Source organism: Homo sapiens, chromosome 12 (assembly GCF_000001405.40).
Source record: "Homo sapiens chromosome 12, GRCh38.p14 Primary Assembly".
NCBI lineage: Eukaryota > Metazoa > Chordata > Mammalia > Primates > Hominidae > Homo > Homo sapiens.
In genome coordinates this window covers 92,437,513-92,454,741 of record NC_000012.12, presented here as the reverse complement: position 1 = coordinate 92,454,741, position 17,229 = coordinate 92,437,513, and the positions used below count along the sequence as shown (strand labels likewise).

Sequence of the window (17,229 nt, the reverse complement as noted above, 5' to 3'; positions counted from 1 at the left end):
GTAGGTCATTTCACTGATGCCACAGTTTTCAGAGATGATAATAGCAATGTCTGGTCTCTAGACATTCTCCAGCATGCTAGGAGAAGGTCCTTTTGGTTCTAGGTAAATGAAGAATTCGTGTATGTATGTGTATATAGTATTTATATATATGTATAATATATATGCAACAAAGAAATATCAAACCTGAAGATAATAAAATATGCTTAACGGTATAAATACACTCAATCTGTAGGATGTTGAAGTTACAACAGCATAGAGACCTGAGTTCAAATAATAACTCTGGCTCTTGGTTAACTACATAAACTTGGAAGTTACAGAAGTTCAGCAAGATTTAATTTCCTCATCTGAAATGTGGGATATTAATCATGACTAACTCATAATGTTATGACCAGATTGGAAAAGACACTTAGCATAAATCACTTAAGATAATGCCTGGTAAGTGTTCAATAAAGGTAGCTTTTATTTTTATTTTTAACTTTTGCTTAATATCCTCTTCTTTTTCTAGTTTTCTAAGGTGGAAGCTGAGATCATTGATTTAAGAAAGCCTTCTTTTCTAACATAAATATTTAATGCTATAAATTCTCTAAGCACTGCTTTAGTTGCATTCCACAATTTTTGATATATTGTGTTTTGTTTTCATTCAGGGAAAATCTTTTCTGATATCATTTGTGATTTCCTCGTTGACCTATGGTTTGGTTTCCAAATATTTGGAGTTTTCTGCAGATATATTTGCGTTATTGAGTTCTAGTTTAATTCTCCTGTGGTCAGAGAATATACTTTGTATTACATTAATTCTCTTAAATTGATTGAGCCTTGTTTTATGACCCAGGATATTGTCTATCTTACTGAATGACCTTGGAAAGAATGTAGATTTTCCTCTTGTTGTATGGAGTGTTCTATAAATGTTAATTAGGTCAAGTTGATTGACAGTGTTATTCAAGTCTTCTGTATCTTCACTGATTTTTCTGTCTACTTTTGCTATCAATTACTGAGATTGAGGTGTTAATTTTCCAACTATAAATATTGGAACTATAAGATGTCATATATTAATATAGTTACTCCAGCTTTCTTTTGGTTAGTGTTTGCATGGTATATCTTTTGCCATTCTTTTATTATTAATTTTAAAAATCCACTTGGTAAGTACTATATTTCAGGCAGTATATAGTTGGGTATTGCCTTTTAATCCAATCCCGCCAGTATCTGCCATTTAATTCAAGTGTCTAGACTGTTAACATGCAGTGTAGCTATTGATACTGTTGGTTTTAAATCTTCTATATTGGTTATTTGTTTTCTATTTACTTGTCTTCTCTTTGTTTTTTATTCCTCTCTCCCTGTTATTATTTTTATTAGTTATTTTTATTACTTTATTTTATTTTTACTATTGTCTTGTTAGACATAACTATTTTTAGTGGTTCTTCTGAGGTTTACAGTACATATGCATTTTAAATTTATCACAGTTCACCTTCATGTAATATTATACGACTTCACTCATGGTATATGGACCTTGCATCAGTATCCATCCATTTCCTATTTAACCTTTTGTGCTAGGTTGCCATGCTTTTTACTTCTATGTATGACACAAACTCCAGAATTTGTTCTTTTTTGTTTTTAACTTTAAAGAGTTATTCATCTCTTAAAGAGGCTGGAAAAGAATAAAAAATCTGTTCTACATTTATCTACATATTATTCATTTCTCTCTTCATTCCTTTGTGTAGGCCCAAATTTTCCACCTGTTATCATTTTTCATCTGCCTAGATAATTTATTTTAATATTTGTTTAAGTGCACACTTGGTGATTATGAGTCATCTCCTCCTTTTGTTGTCTGAAAATCTGTCTTTGACTTGATTTTTGAAAGATATTTTCATTGTATAAACAATTCTTGATTAACTTTTTTTTCATTTTTATATTTTAAAGATGCCTATTATTATTTGGCTTAAATAGTTTCTGACAAAAAGGATGGCATTATTCTCACCTTTGTTCCTTGCCATGTAACCTATCTTTTTTCTCTGGTTGCTCTTAAAAAATGTTTTTTTCACTGTTCTTCCCACTCTCCTGCCAATTTTACTATGATTTTTCTTAGCTTCCTTTATTGCTTAAAAGCCTTTCTTCTGCTTGAGGTTCATGGAAATTCTTGAGTCTTTGGGTTATCATTTTCATCAAATTTTGGAACTTTTAGTCATCATTATTTCAAAATATTCCATTCTCCACTTCTCCTCCTGAACTTCAATTACTTGTAGGTTATAACAATTATATTTTCCCATATCTCACTGATTTTCTGGGGGTTTTTTGTCTTTTTTTTTTTTACTCTCAGTGTTTGTTTGGGGTCATTTTCTTTTGCTTTATGTTCAAGTTCACCAATATTTCTTTTACAGTGTCCAATTTTCTATAAAACCCTGTAGTTTATTTTTTGATCACTCATTTATAATTGTTTTCTCTAGAAGTTCCATTTGAGTATTTTTTAATATCTTCAATTTTTCTCTTTATTATGCTCATCTTTTCCTCTACCTTACTGGACATGTAGGGAATATTTATAATAGTTTTAGATTTTTGTCTGTTAGTTCCAGCATCTCCATCATTTCTGATTCTTTTTCTATTTCTTGACTTGCTCCTTGATTTATGGATTTTGTTATATTTCTTTAAGTAATGTTAGTTTTTTTTTGTTTGTTTTTTGTTTTTCTGAAACACAGTTATTTGGAAGCAATTGGATCCTATCCTGTAAGCTTTGTTAGGATGGGTCCAGAATAGTCTTTAGCCTAAGGCTAATTTATCCTCATTACTAACACAGGGCTCCTCTGAATATTCTACCCAATGTTTATTGGATTATGACAATTTCCTTTCCTTCTTTTGGGATCACAAACTAATTGCAGCCCTGTGTGAGGGTCCATGGGTTTTTCACTTACTTTTTTCTGATATTTCTTTCCCCAGTCTCAGATAGTTGCCTCTTGCTACGGTTTGAGTGTCTCCTCCACAACTCATGTTGGAACCTTAATTCCCAGTGCAGCAATGCCAGGAGATGGAACTTTAAGATGTGGAATCTAATGGGAGACATTTGGGTCATGAGGGTTCTGCCTTCATGGGAAGCTTGGTGCGATTCTCACGGTGGTCAGTGGGTTCTTACTCTCACAAGATTGTGAGAAGTGCCATCTTGCTCTCACAAGATTGAATTAGCTCTCACAGGGATGGATTAGTTCTTAGGAGAGTGGGGTGCCTCTTGTGTTTGATCTCTGTCTGCTTCCCCTTCTACTTCTTGTCATGTTCTATTGCAGCACAGGCCCTCACGAGAAGCCAAGTGGATTCTGGTGCTATGCTTTGTGGACTTCCCAACCTCCAGAAGCATGATTGAAATAAACCTCTTTTCTTGATAAATTACCCAGTGTCAGCTATTCCATTATAGAAACACAGAACAGACTAAGACATCTCTCATGAATGGTGAGATCAGAACTCAATTAACTGAAAGGGACCCTTCTGCACATCTGTAGTCTACTGTCTCCCTCTTTGTGCAGCTTTCTTCCTTTTACTACTCACCCTTCAAATTCTAGCCTCCTTGTCTCTCTAAATTTTTGCTTCTATCTCCTCAACTCAAGCCTGGCAAGCTATATAAGAGTCTCTCCTTCCTGTACTACAGACTGGAAACTTTCTACAAGCTGTCAATTGGTAAAAACACAGGGCTTTCAGATGAACAACTTATCCTGGTTTGGCCAGGACATTTTCAGTGGTAGCACTGAAAGTCTCATGTTCTGGGAACTCCCTCAGTCCCAAGCAAACTAGGAGAATGGGGATGGTTGGCCACTCACAATCACTCAATGTCACGTCATTGCTTTCCCTTATTTTAGCATCACAGTGCTATACTACCTTTAGTCAAACACCTGAGACCTCCATTTTGGTCAGAAGTAAAAACCCTGATTTATTTTTCAATTGCAGAGGACAAAAGTGGGAAGATAAGTTGGTACCTATTATTGTGGTCTTAGATGATGGTAGCCTAGACATAAATGGCGATACGTATGATAGCAAAATGTAGAAGGAATTGAGATACATTTAAGAAATATGTTGAACAGGTCAAGGCCTTAAAACAACTTATAAAATACTTTTTATGGATGTACTTCAATAATCCAAATAATTATAAATTCAACTACTATGTTATAATTTTGCCTACATTTTTGTATTTTGACCGCAAGAAATCATGTATGAGATCCCCAGACACCCAGGACCCACACCCACTAGACAGAGAATCCATTGAGAAATTTGAAAGAATTGAATTAACAATTCACAGAGGGAGTAGAGCAAGAGACTGCTTTTCAGAGTATAGAGGCTAGGCTAGAATATTTGGGTCCCTTCCTGTAGTAAAAATTCCTTTTGAGTCTGTGGCAACCAGTAGAGAAGGGGAACCTACTTAGAACCTACCACTTCTTTTGCCATCTGCTATCTTCACAGCTATTGAGGCATGATCAAAGGCCCTGCCAGTCCACATTATGCATAAAGCTGGACATCATCAAGCTGTACCCATGGTGCTCATTTGTATCCACCATGTTTTCCTTCACACCATTGTCAGGATTCAGCTGCCATAGTTAAGTTAACTGGATGTAGATCTTCCTGGGAATCAAGGAAAGCCATGCATAGAAAACTCCCAGGTGAGGACATTCTCTGGGATGCTATAGCCCAGAAGGTAAAGGAATTCTGTCACTCAACACAGGTCTCCTACTTTGCCTGCAAGAAGGAGACAAGATGTTGCATTTGGCCTGTTTTGAAGGAAGGTAAGTGTGCACGTGTGTGTATGTACATATGTAAACACCTGTGTGGTCATGTGTAGTAGGCTGGTGAAGGGGAAGAAAATTGCCAAAACTGTTCAGTGCTAACACATAAAGAAAACCTTTGTCAAAATATCTCACAGGAAGCCCACACCAATCCGAATGACTGATGTCAGATCTTTTCTGAGGGAGCAGAAAGAGTAGAATGTGGGGATTTGACGTCCAATACAAGGAAAGGAGTTAGACCTAGAGAAAAAAGAGGTGGATGACTTTATAACTTTATCAAGAATTTTCCATAATCAGCTGAAGTTGATCAAGGACAGAAAGGAAAGGTGACCAAAGCATATTTGTTATGCTTGGTTGTGAATGCACTTTTAAATTTTGTTTTATAAAAACACATCTATTTTACAACACAACTTCTTCCTCAGGTAATTTGTATTTTTGTGTTAACAAATAGTTTTGCAGTGGCAGAAATCTGAAAAATGGCATAGAACAGATCTCTCCAAAGAGATTTTCAAACTAAGATGAGGACTAAAATAAGCAATCCATTAGATCATAAGATCTTTGAGTGAGAGGAGCCCATTTGATATATTTAATTAAACCCCAACACCCATCCCCCATGCCTGCACATGGTAGATGTTCAGCAAATATTTAATAAATGGAAGCCTAAATATTTGGGAATAATAACAGCCTTTGAACAAATGAGCTTGAAAATGCCACCACCAGGTATTCTTTCTTATAGAATTGTTCCCTTACAACACACATTAAAACATTCTAGGAGACCTACAGTTAAAAACAAAACAAAACAAAAAACAACAAAAAAAAACCCTACTTACTTATTTATTTATTTTACTTTTTGAGGTAGGGTCTTGCTCTGTCACCCAGGCTGGGGTGCAATGGAGCCTTCATAGTTCACAGCAGCTTTAAATTCCTGGACTCAGATGATCATCACACCTCAGCCTCCCAAGTAGCTGGGACTACAGGCACATGCCACCACTTTCAGCTATTTCTTTTTTAGAGACAGGGTCTTGCTATATTGTCTAGGCTGGTTTCCAACTCTGGGGCTCAAGTGATCCTCCTGCCTTGTCCTGCCAAAGTTCTGGGATTACAGGCATGAGCCACCATGGCTGGCCTCTATTTATTTTTTGAGTGAACAAGTTTGTCACCAATATCTTTGATCATGGAACTCTTTTTAAGGAATACATATTAGCTTCCTGCAGAAATGTTGCTGTAACCCAATATATCTTTAAGGTACCAAAGCTGAATCCTAAAGATGAGAATTTTGAAAGATGACTGTGGTATCATGTTGTGCCCTTGTTAAATTGAATCCACATCATGAAAACATTTTATGTGTTCAAGTTAAATTGGTTTATTTTGTATTATTGTGTAAACTGGACTTGACAGGTTGCAGGTATAAACAATTTTTTAAATTTTGCTTCTGCCCCTCCAAACCTGACATTTTGAGTACTCACCCTCAATCCCCAGGTTCCTCTAACTAATAAAACTCTGAGTAGTTCTCTCTTGGCTTTTCTGATTACCAACAGGTAATAAATTTTTTAAAAAAGCTTTTTTCCAAGGTAGTAAAAAGTCTAGTCAAAAGTCTTATCCATGTAAACTTAAGCTCTGTCTTTTCTCACAACTCTGTTATCAGATTGGAAATCCAGGAGTAGGAGGAGAGGCCAGGTTGGTTTCCCCATCTTCTCCTCTCTCTATCTCCTCCTCCTTTCCTGTCTGTGATTTCTGGCCTCTCCAAAGACAAAGTATTCAAAACAAATTATAAAATACTTTTTATAGATGTATTTCAATAATCCAAATAATTATAAATTTAACTACTATGTTATGATTTTGCCTATATTTTTGCATTCTGACCACAATAAATCACATATGAGATCCCCAGACACCCAGGACTCACACCCACTAGACAGAGAATGAAGTGAGAAATTTGAAATAATTGAATTAACAATTCACAGAAGGAGCAGAGCAAGAGACTGCTTCTCAGAGTATAGAGGCTGTGGGGGAGCAAGAGGAAGAATACAGAGGAGTGTAGGGGAGGAAGAGGAAGGTCGTAAGATGGAATAAGAAGTTCTAACTTGACTGGCGCTCTTATAATCTGTCATTGTGATCCTCTGAGTTTAGTGAACATCCCAACTGATGTGTGTTTCATAGAGCATTGTGTTGAGTTTGGGGAAGCTCCCTCTTTTTCCCTACATTGCAGGACATCTCTCTCAGTAACTGTTTCCCTGACTCCAGTTACGCCTTCTCAAGCTAGTCATCCATGACTTCTTTATTCTCTTGGCTTCAAATGGTACGTTCCCCCTAATGGAGTCATGACACCCTGCCAGGCAATTTCTTTCAAGATGCCTCAATCTGCCTTCTTTGAACAGGTTCCTTATTTGTTTCAAATTTTGGAAGTCCTGCTTAGCCTCCACATAGCTCTGTTTTAGGCATAAAGAGAGAGAGAGAGAGAGAGAGAGAGAGAGAGAGAAAGAGAGAGAGAGAGAGAGAGTAGTTCTAGTTACAGTGTTTTCAGGTGTGAGTCAGATATCTCAATGATATCTGTCTGTTAAAATCCAGATGACACATGTCAAGCTCTGCAAGTGGTCCCATCAAAGTGTCTCTCATTTTGTTTGCATTAAGGAAGAAACAAACTTATCGGAAAGGTGAGGCATGAAGACGAAGATGCTTCCTAAATTGACAACGCCCTCTAGAAAGATCCCCACTGCCAAGTTCTTTAAAGTCTCTCTTGATAAGCTGGAGGCTGCCAATGTGATAACTTGGGTAGAACCTCTTAGTGTATCCTTTTATAGGCAAGCTACCATCTGGTTTTAGAAGGTGAGCTTCCTTGGCACCAAGTGTATTGGGCCTCTTCTGATATACCTAGACAAGAGGGAATGCCCCATTTAACATTCCATTGTACATGATTTCATATACTCAATCCACACTAACATCTTTTATGAGAAACATAGTAAATAGCAAGAGGAACCAAAGCTGAAATAAGAACTAGCCATGGATACAACCGCTGAGACTTAGTCGTGTTATTTATAATGCATAAGACCTGTGAAATAAGGAAGAAAAGACTGAAAGTATTAGTTGTATGCACCATTTGCTAGCTTCATGGTGAGTTTTATAGCCATTAGAATGTGGACAAAGATTGAACTGCTCTTGTAAAAGGCTCCCTTTGCTCTACTGTCTATTTTGCTTCATGGCCATCAGAAAAAAAGTTAATTTTCCCTGTAAATACTTATCTGTGCTCAGGGCTTGCACTTGTCCTTTGGCTTTCGTTGTGTTTGACCTCTACCACTATACCCTTGTTTTGCCAATGGATGTCTGTTGTTAGCTGATTGCTAATGAACCCAAAGATATTAATTACGGCCATCAGCAATGATGCTAGAGAGTTTTTAACTGGAACTCTCAAAAGAGTCTAAAAAAAGAAAAGAAAATGCCATTTATATTGAATGTCAATTCCCTGATCCATGTTCAGAGATCACATGTGTCTTGATAAGATTATGTATCTTATCAAGTTAAAACCCAACTTTCTGTAATGCTTAAACCTTCTCGCAATATCCTAACATAGTGGTTCTTATTCATGGTTGCATGCTGGAATCACTTGAGAAGCATTTATAAAATCCCAGTGCTCAGGCTGCAGTCCCAGGTAACACCCAGGTATTCCAAAGTGCAGCTAAAGTTGAGTCACTGCTAATCATTTTTGTCTGGAATCTAGCCTCTATTCATTCACAGAACATACAACTAAAGCCCTTAAGGAACCACACCCCATCTACATATAGAAGAGACATGGGGAGTACATTGCTTAGGCTATATGTTTGATCTTGCCTGCTCAGTGCCCCTTTAAAAGTTTAAAAATGATGATTAGATTTCATCATGTAAAAAAATCAGGGGTTCTAATGACAAAAATCTCAATGTTCAGTTTCTCTTGAAAATTCAGCTGTTCTGGCAAGAGTAACTTCCTTCTTCCACAACAAGCATCTGGTATCACTAGCAGCAGACCACTTCACAGGTGGCCTGGGCTTTCCAGTTTGCCCACAGGCCTTAACCTGCCTGAGTTCCCCGCCTGGTCCCTACAGGCAGAGTTCTGAGTATCTGCTACCGTCCCGGTTTGAAAAAGTCTCTCAAAGCTTCCTCCTCTTTGCCTCTTCCATTTTCAAATGCCGGAGACTCCAACTTGTGCCAAAGAGCCTTCTTTGATCTGAATGACTCAAGCAATCCCTTAACTCCTGGATTGTTTAAAATGTTATTAGGTTTCTCTCTTCCATTCTCTACCAGCCCATTTTCCCCCTAGAGAGTTTGTTTTGTTCTTTTGCTTTAAAAATGAAAACAAAGTGTGACTACACATGTATTCTCCAAAGACCAGCTCCTCAAGGCTGAGAGCCAGATGCCTGATATATTTTCCATCTAGAGCTGTACATGCAGAGAAAGTCGTCAAAGCAAGGCCATTCTGCTTTTGACCTTCCTAGGGCTGAATGCGCAGCTAGTCAACAGAGGAGCTGAAAATAGAACCCAGGACTTTCAAATCATTGTTCTGCTCACTGGGCTGTGCTTCCTCCCATAAGGACTTGGTCAAACAATGTCCTGTTTGGCAAAAGCAGAAATCATAATCTACGTATGAGAAACTGGATGGTGAAGAAACGCGAGCCCCACCCTCGGAAAAGATGGCACTGTAGTGTAAAGGGAGTGTGAATTTGTTTCTAGCACTGCAGCTTATAAGTTGGATGCACTAAAAAAAAATGTGTTTAGAATCATTGACTCTGTAATGTGTGGCATTTTGAACAAGGAGTTCTTACTGACTGCCGAGAATGAATTTGCTTGACAACCCACAGAAAGGAAATTTAGAACATTAGAAAGGTTATCATGAAAATGACAGAACCTGTAAATAAGACATTCAGGGATGTGGAATCTGGGGGCTGGTTTTTAGCATAGGGTAGCCAGTGTCACGGGAAGGAGCCAGAAGATGGGTAACTCCGTCATTCTTCACTCGGAGTATGTGTGTGACCCATAGAGAGGGCAGAAAGCAGGGCTAAACAACTTCCCCAAACTCTGAGGAAGAGTTCAGAACTCGTGCGTCTGTGCTGTCATTTTGCAAACGACGTACTTCTCTTTTAGGGATCATCTCCCGGGGCTGATTTATAGTGATCTCCTTGAGAGCAGAAACCCTATGGGCCTCATTGCTGTTGCCCCAATGCTTAGCATGTGGCCAATCCCGGGAGACAGCAGAGCAGAGCCTATAGCCAGGCTTTCTGAGTTTGAGTCCCACCTCTACTGTTTCCCAGATGCTAGGCTTTGAACAAGTGACTTTACGTCTCTATGCCTCAATTTCCTCATTTGTAAAGCAGAGATGGTAATAATAGTTCTTACCTCAAAGAGTCATTATAAAAATGAAATGAGTTACTACTTGTGATGTGCTTCGAATAGTACGTGGTACGTAATAAGCATTCCTCAAGTTTAGTTATTATAGGCAATCAATGCATAATTTGTGAACAGATAAATGTTCTAGCAAACAATAATGGCTAGTTATAATAGGCCAGGTGACTTGCTAAGCACTTTACATGAATTATCCGACTTAATTCTAAACACAGGCATGTGAGATCCCCTATCAGTCCATATTACAGAAGAGGCCACTGAGGCAGAAAAGAACTGGGTAACTTAAGCTCGCACAGCTGGCTGAAGTAAATTTATTGTATGACACCACATCTTTCACCACGACTCTGCCAATGAAATATCTATTTTCTAGGAGGAATACTAAGGAAAAAGCTGCTTTATGATATTTGTATGAGTCTCAAGTATAATCATTTATTTACACTTTGAAAGCATTAAAACATATATACACATATGTAAGATGGTGTTGATGACTAATAAACCCATGAGAAATCCCATTTTAGTCTCATTAGCCTGATTTAGCATATCAAAAGGTGTTAAAAATAATAATTAGCTTTAGGAACCAACAAACAAGTAAAACCAGTCACTTTGACACACCAAAATGCAATTTGATATGCAAGAATCACCTACTCAAGATAACAGCCACTAAATAAATGAACAAAAGAGAGTGTTGAGAACTGAGGCACCATAGTCTTTTGCTTATTTCTTTGCTAAGATGTACTTAGCTGTGATACACATTTTTTATTTATTCATGTACTTTATCTCTTTGAATAGTTCCCTCAGCCAGAAATATGAGTAGAAAGGATGAGATGCTTTTTTGCTTCTCAGATATTAGTTGGAATATTCTAGGGTGTCATGGAAAGCAAACCAAACTTGAGGCTGAGAAATGAGGTTTCTGATTCCAGCTTCACTACTAAGTAATTCCCTCGAGAATTTGAAGAAAATTTCTCGTCTACCTGTGCCTCAGATTTCTCTGTCTAAAAATACAGCTTTGGATCCCATTGACTATAAAATTCCTAGTACCTCTAAAAATATTTCATTTTCCTCCTGGGGATTTTTTTTTTATTATACAGCATACTTTTCCCATCTCTAACCCAACACACAGATTTTAACATTTTTGAAATTAGATTGTTTCACAATTAGAACACAAATTAAATTTAATCATTTTTTCTCTTTTTTCCCTTCTTCTCCTCCTCTTCCCCTTTCTCTTCCTCCCCTTCTTTCTCCTCCTCCTTTTTTATCCTGCAAAGTTGTCATTAAATTGATAATGTATCTCAGAATTAAAGAAAAACACAAAACTCAAACATAAACAACACAACCACTACCACCACAAACAATAACTAACCTGTCCCAAAGGCTTGGTTGATATGTAAATAGATTTGCATACTGAAATTGGAGAAAGAGAATTTTCAAGTGTTATTACTACTTAATTTCTTTTGAGTTCAGGCCCTCTTCCAAGGAATAAATCATAATTTATCTGTAGCAGCTATGATCCCTGGGTTTCCCTGGCCAAGGGTGACAGCACTGTATCAGAAACAAAACACTTACTTTTTGGAACTAAAATGTCTCAATACATTTGACTATGTCATCATCTGCATGTATGTATGACTAATCTACGTGACGCCAATCATTTCTCTGTAGTCAACTGAGAATACTTAGGCGCCCCTCTTTACTCCAGGCACATCCAAGTGGGAGAACAGATGTTCTTTGTTTCAGGAAAGGATGGGGTGAAGGTTAGCTCATGGGTAGAGTTTCCTGTTTCTAATGTTTGAAGCCAGGGAGGTGCCAACAGTTTTAAAGGTCTTATTAAAGGGAGATAGTTCTGCTGGGGCAAGATGCAATGAAAGTAAAATTTGCTCCCCAACTGATGTCTTGGTACTTCAGATGTATATAATACTGACCATATTATTTCCTTTTTAACAATCCTTCAATGACTCTCCTTTTGCCTGCCAGAGACAGGCTAAATGCTTTAGCATTTAGCACTCTCTAAACTGTACCCAAAATTACAGGCAGTTCTATGAACTCATCTTGTTCCTCTGCCCTTGAAATGGCTTTCCCACATCTTCACTTGGGCAACTCATTTGTCAAGACTTAGCTCAGGGCCGGGTGTGGTGGCTCATGCCTGTAATCCCAGCACTTTGGGAGGCCAAGGTGGGTAGATTACTTGAGGTCAGGAGTTTGAGCCAGCCTGGTCAACATGGTGAAACCCCATCTCTACTAAAAATACAAAACATTAGCCAAGCATAGTGGCGGGTGCATGTTATCCCAGCTACTGGGGCAGCTGAGGCAGGAGAATTGCTTGAACCCAGGAGGCGGAGGTTGCAGTGAGCCGAGATTATGCCACTACACTTCAGCCTGGGTGACAGAGCGAGACTCTGTCTCAAAAAAAAAAAAAAAAAAAAAAAAAAAAGACTTAGCTCAGATGTCATCTTCCCTTTGCAGCCTTTAGCACCTTACCAATTAGAGTAGGGACCTCTTAATTGTGGTCCCAAGGCAGCCCATACTTCCCTCTATCCAAGGGATTCTCAAACCTCCCTGCAGAATGGAATCACCTGGAAAGCTATCAAAACATAGCAATGCCCAGGTCTTACTCACAGGGATTTTGATTTCATTGGTCTGAGTTGGAGTCAAGCATCACTATATAATATAGCCAGGTGGTTCTATTATTCAGCCAATGCTGAGAACCACTGCTTTATTGTAAATCTTGCACCATATTGTATTATAAGTCTTTGTTTATCCTTCCCAAGATTAAGTTTCTTGAGAACTGAAATTATTTTGTATTGATATGCATATCGCTTGAGATTTTTAAAAAAATTCCAAGCACTAGGAAGTGTTCAATAAGTAGTTTATAAATAATAAATGTATGACTGAATGAATGAATAACGTGTACACATCCCAACCACCCACCCATCTATGCTTAGAAGCTTGCTTACATTCATGCAGCTGTTCAGGGTTAGAAATTGTGGAAAATAAAAGAATCAATGTGGATCCCAGGTGTCTGGAGATAAAGGATGTAGTCTAAGAGGAGTTTCTGAGGAAACAAATAAAATATGGCCTGAAAGAAAACCTGCAAAAGTTTGAACTAATTAAGAACAGGTGCTGAAAAAGCAGGACTATGAAATCTGACCTCAGCAAGAACTTTGGGAGAGAGATTAATACAAGAAGAGATTCTGGGGCTTGAGATGGGGAGAAGGGAGCAACCAGCCCTAATGCAGATCAGCTTCTACCTACATAAAGTAGAAATACAAGGACGAGTCTTAGCTTTCCCTTAAGGCCCAGAGTCCAGACCCTGAAAGTCAAGATGTCCTAGTAGCCAGAGGGAGAATTAGCAGAATGGGAGTCAAGCTTGATATTCAAGCTTGAGTATCATGAGACACAGCAGTGCTCCATCTGCTCTGTGAATCTGTATCTTCTGGGGTCATAGCATGTGCTAAGTGCTTTATATATGTTATCCCATTTAATATGAAGAATTAGGTTTATGAAATAGGCTTTATTATTTCCAGTTTCACAGATGAGGACACTGAGATTCTGGGGAGTTGAGTAAGCCTCCTAAGTCACCTAATTATAATTGATAAATGTCACCTTCTAAATGGCCAGTAGGGATTACTGACCTGACAACCCTGTATGGAGGAGATGTATGGGAGAAGATGAAGAGATAGGTTGGAGGTCCAATATCTCTATCAAGAAGAGGGCTTTCCCTGCCAAGTCCTGCCAATGGACTAGGAGACAGCAGATGAAGGAACCTTTATGGATAGTTGCCTTTAATTTTAGAAAGCTCCTACTTGTTTGGGCCAGGAACCACTACGTGACCTTGAACAGTGAAAACACGATACTCTCCACTTCTGGACTCCCAGTGAATGTGTTTGTGGAGGCACTTACTCTTTCTCAGAGAAGGAGACATGAACAAGAACACTTCGAATTCAGTCATGCTATAAGATAGAAGAACGTGTATAAATATTGGATTGCCATTTTTTAAAAGAATGAGTTCTTTTTATTTCATAACACAAAAACTTCTTATATTCCATCTAATATGTCATTAAAATTTAAATATTTGATCTGCCATGTTAAGGGGAATTCCCTTTTCCTCGACCTCCCTCTTGACTATTCATAGTCTATTCATAGTCTATGTTTAGGAAATCTTGTCTTCTCGCGTGTCTTAATAGACATTTAGTTTCCAAAACAAAGTCTGATCTTATTAGTCTAGCCAATCAGTTTTGTCTGTCTGCATTAAGGAGTGATGAAGATGCCTGCAGATTTTAGTCTGCTAAAAGATATCTTCTCTTTTCAATCACCTGTGATGACTAGTTTTCCTGGAATAGTTCGTGCAGTCACAGCCTTGATGCCAAGCATGTTGGAGCTACTGTTCTTTCACCCAACTCTGTACACAATTTCTGTCTGTGGAAACTATAATCACTCTTGCTGCTAAAGATGCCAGGAATAGGTTGGCATTGGAAATTTCTTTGGCTTATTGGGAAATAACCTGGGCTTTAAACTCGCTGGAACTGGGTTCAAATCCTAACTCTGTCATTTACAAACACTTCTAAGGCCAAGGAAATGTCAACAAATGTCAATTTCGTTTTTTGTCCTCTTCTGTTGAGGAATAGTATACACTTCTTTGATCATCTCTATGATCCAATCATATGTACATTCAGTCCAACACACCTACACAAAAAGCACACAGTTATGGATTTTACTCTCCTCCACCTTTAGTTTTTTGACAAGAAGCCAAGATTTCAAAACAGCTCATGAGCAGTCTGTATTTTATGGCAATTTATTATTTGACCTTTCTCTAGAATGTGAATGTTATATTACCCCTGGTTCCTTGACATGTGAAAAAATACATCCCTTCCCTCTCAGCCTGTGTCTTCTGATAACAAGTTCCAATGATCATTTTCTAAATAATAAAAAAGAAGGTAGCTGCTATAGGCATTTATAACTGACCTTATTTCAAGAATTTGGTTGGGCAACTCTTTACTCATTTTCAAGAGAGAGGCAATGTGTGAGTCATGAGAGGATCTCCCTAGAGGTAGTCAAAACAATTGGCAGTGCCTGATCTTGGCATCTTCATCCGCTGCTCTGGTCCTGGTTTTCCCCTATGTGAAAGGAAAATTATGCCACAGAACATCTAAGGTCCATTTCTCCTCTTAAATATCTGTGTCTAGTTACTGCTTATTTGTAAGAAAATAAGTTGGCTTGCCCAAAGATAAAAAGATATTAAATGGCAAATATTTCACAAGAGAACTGGTCTTTCTCTGCTCTTTCTCTTTTATGTCTGGGTTGTAAAATTATTATAATGATTACTCTTCATCACCCACCTAATCCCATAAAACATCTCTGACTATGTAAATGCACATGATCTGTTTCCCTTTAGCAATTACTCACTTTACCCATGGGAATCAGGTTTTCGCTGATGCCCAGTAAGGGAAAGTGCCAGCTTTCTGTTAGGAGACTTAATTTTTCTCTCTGGGCAAAAGGTTTCCCACAGCTGAGACCAACTCAGCATTACTCTATTGTCTTCTACTAAGGGAGAATTAACAGCTAGTATTTAGTACCAAACACTGGTAATGTGCCATAAAAATGAGGGAGAAGAAGGAAAGGAACATCTGTTAATAGGTATCTCAGTTCAAACTGCTACACTGAAATACCATAGACTGGGTGGCTTGAACAACCAACATTTATTTTTCATGGTCCTGGAGGCTGGAAGTCTGAGATCAGAGCGCCAGCAGGGTCAGGGTCTTGGGAGGGCTCTGGTTATGTCCTCACATGGCCTTTCTTTTGCGGGTGCATGGCGATGGGGATGAAGGCAGAGGGAGAGGGGAAAAGAGAAAGAGAGAGAGATTTCATGCTGTCTTCCTTTGTGTTGTTGTTGTTTCTGATTTTTGTTAAATAAGGGCATTGATCTCAGCATGGGGGCTCCACCTTCATGAGTTCATTTAAACCTAGTTCCCTCACAAATGCCCCACCTCCAAATACCTTTACAATGTGGATTAGGGCTTCATCATATGAATTTGCGGTGGGCGGGGGACACACACATTCAGTTCATAGCAGTGGGAATAAAGGAAACATATTAGATTCTCTTTATTGTGCCTTTGTATATGGCTTGGTGCTAAACTAATGCATATTACATAGTTATCTCATTTATCTTATTTTATACTCATGATTATTCTTCAGAGCAATTCTTATGCCTCTTTCAAAGCTGAGGAAATAGAGGCTCAGAGATATTAATGAATTACCCAAGGTCGCCTAGGTCTCTGACTGTAAAGCCTGTATTAATTTCATTTTGTTATCATGGGCCTTGCCAGTAAATGTGTCTGTAGTGGGTAAAAAAAAAAATTATTCTAGAATGTGGAGAACCCCTGAAATGACCTGCACTACTGAAGAAAGCCTGCCTGAATGGTGTATTCCACATCTGTAAACTTCAGGGAAAGACCCCTCCAATGAATTTGGAAATAAGTACTAAAATATTTGACACCCCAACGGCAAGAGGATTTTGCATCCTTTTCCCCAGTAGAATCACAGAAGTCAGATGTGATTTGACATGTAATAATAATGGATATCATTGATTGAACACGTTACGCTCTTGGCTGTGTGCTGCATACTTCATAAGTATTATCTCATTTACCCAATGCCCCATGAGATGGTTACCACTTTCTTATTCAGTTGCAGGCATTGAGGCTTATAAAGAGTTGTAACTTAGCCAAGTCACATGGATTGGGAAGATGGGAATCTGGGTATATCTGAATGTAAAGCAAATTACTCAACAATGCATCTTCACTGCAGAGCAAAATAGAATGCAGGGAGTCCTATTCTTTCTTCCTGTTGGGTTTGCACTTCCAAAAAACTTAAAGAACTTGTGAGAATCACTCTTATGAGTACAGAATGTCCACAAGTGGCAATCACAGTTACAGGAAAGGTTGACACCGTCAGTTCTGACTGCACTTACATTAATTAAAAACAGAAATTAAAAGGGAAGAAGGCAAAGGGGAAAGTCCCACTTTCAAATGAGGTCATTTAAACAATAAACTAGTTTCAGTAATTATTTAAAGGGAGCAGAACTGATTAGATATCAGAAATAGAACTAGGCCTTTTGGAG

General features: G+C 38.2%; 4 annotated features.

Moving 5' to 3' along the window:
* Window positions 7,480-7,729: an enhancer, noted in NCBI's record as "active region_6740". NCBI's record gives its function as "activates an Ori minimal core promoter by ATAC-STARR-seq in GM12878 lymphoblastoid cells {active_cell/tissue: GM12878}" and the evidence as "EXISTENCE:reporter gene assay evidence [ECO:0000049][PMID:35858748]".
* Window positions 8,460-8,529: an enhancer, noted in NCBI's record as "active region_6739". NCBI's record gives its function as "activates an Ori minimal core promoter by ATAC-STARR-seq in GM12878 lymphoblastoid cells {active_cell/tissue: GM12878}" and the evidence as "EXISTENCE:reporter gene assay evidence [ECO:0000049][PMID:35858748]".
* Window positions 8,660-8,729: an enhancer, noted in NCBI's record as "active region_6738". NCBI's record gives its function as "activates an Ori minimal core promoter by ATAC-STARR-seq in GM12878 lymphoblastoid cells {active_cell/tissue: GM12878}" and the evidence as "EXISTENCE:reporter gene assay evidence [ECO:0000049][PMID:35858748]".
* Window positions 9,050-9,159: an enhancer, noted in NCBI's record as "active region_6737". NCBI's record gives its function as "activates an Ori minimal core promoter by ATAC-STARR-seq in GM12878 lymphoblastoid cells {active_cell/tissue: GM12878}" and the evidence as "EXISTENCE:reporter gene assay evidence [ECO:0000049][PMID:35858748]".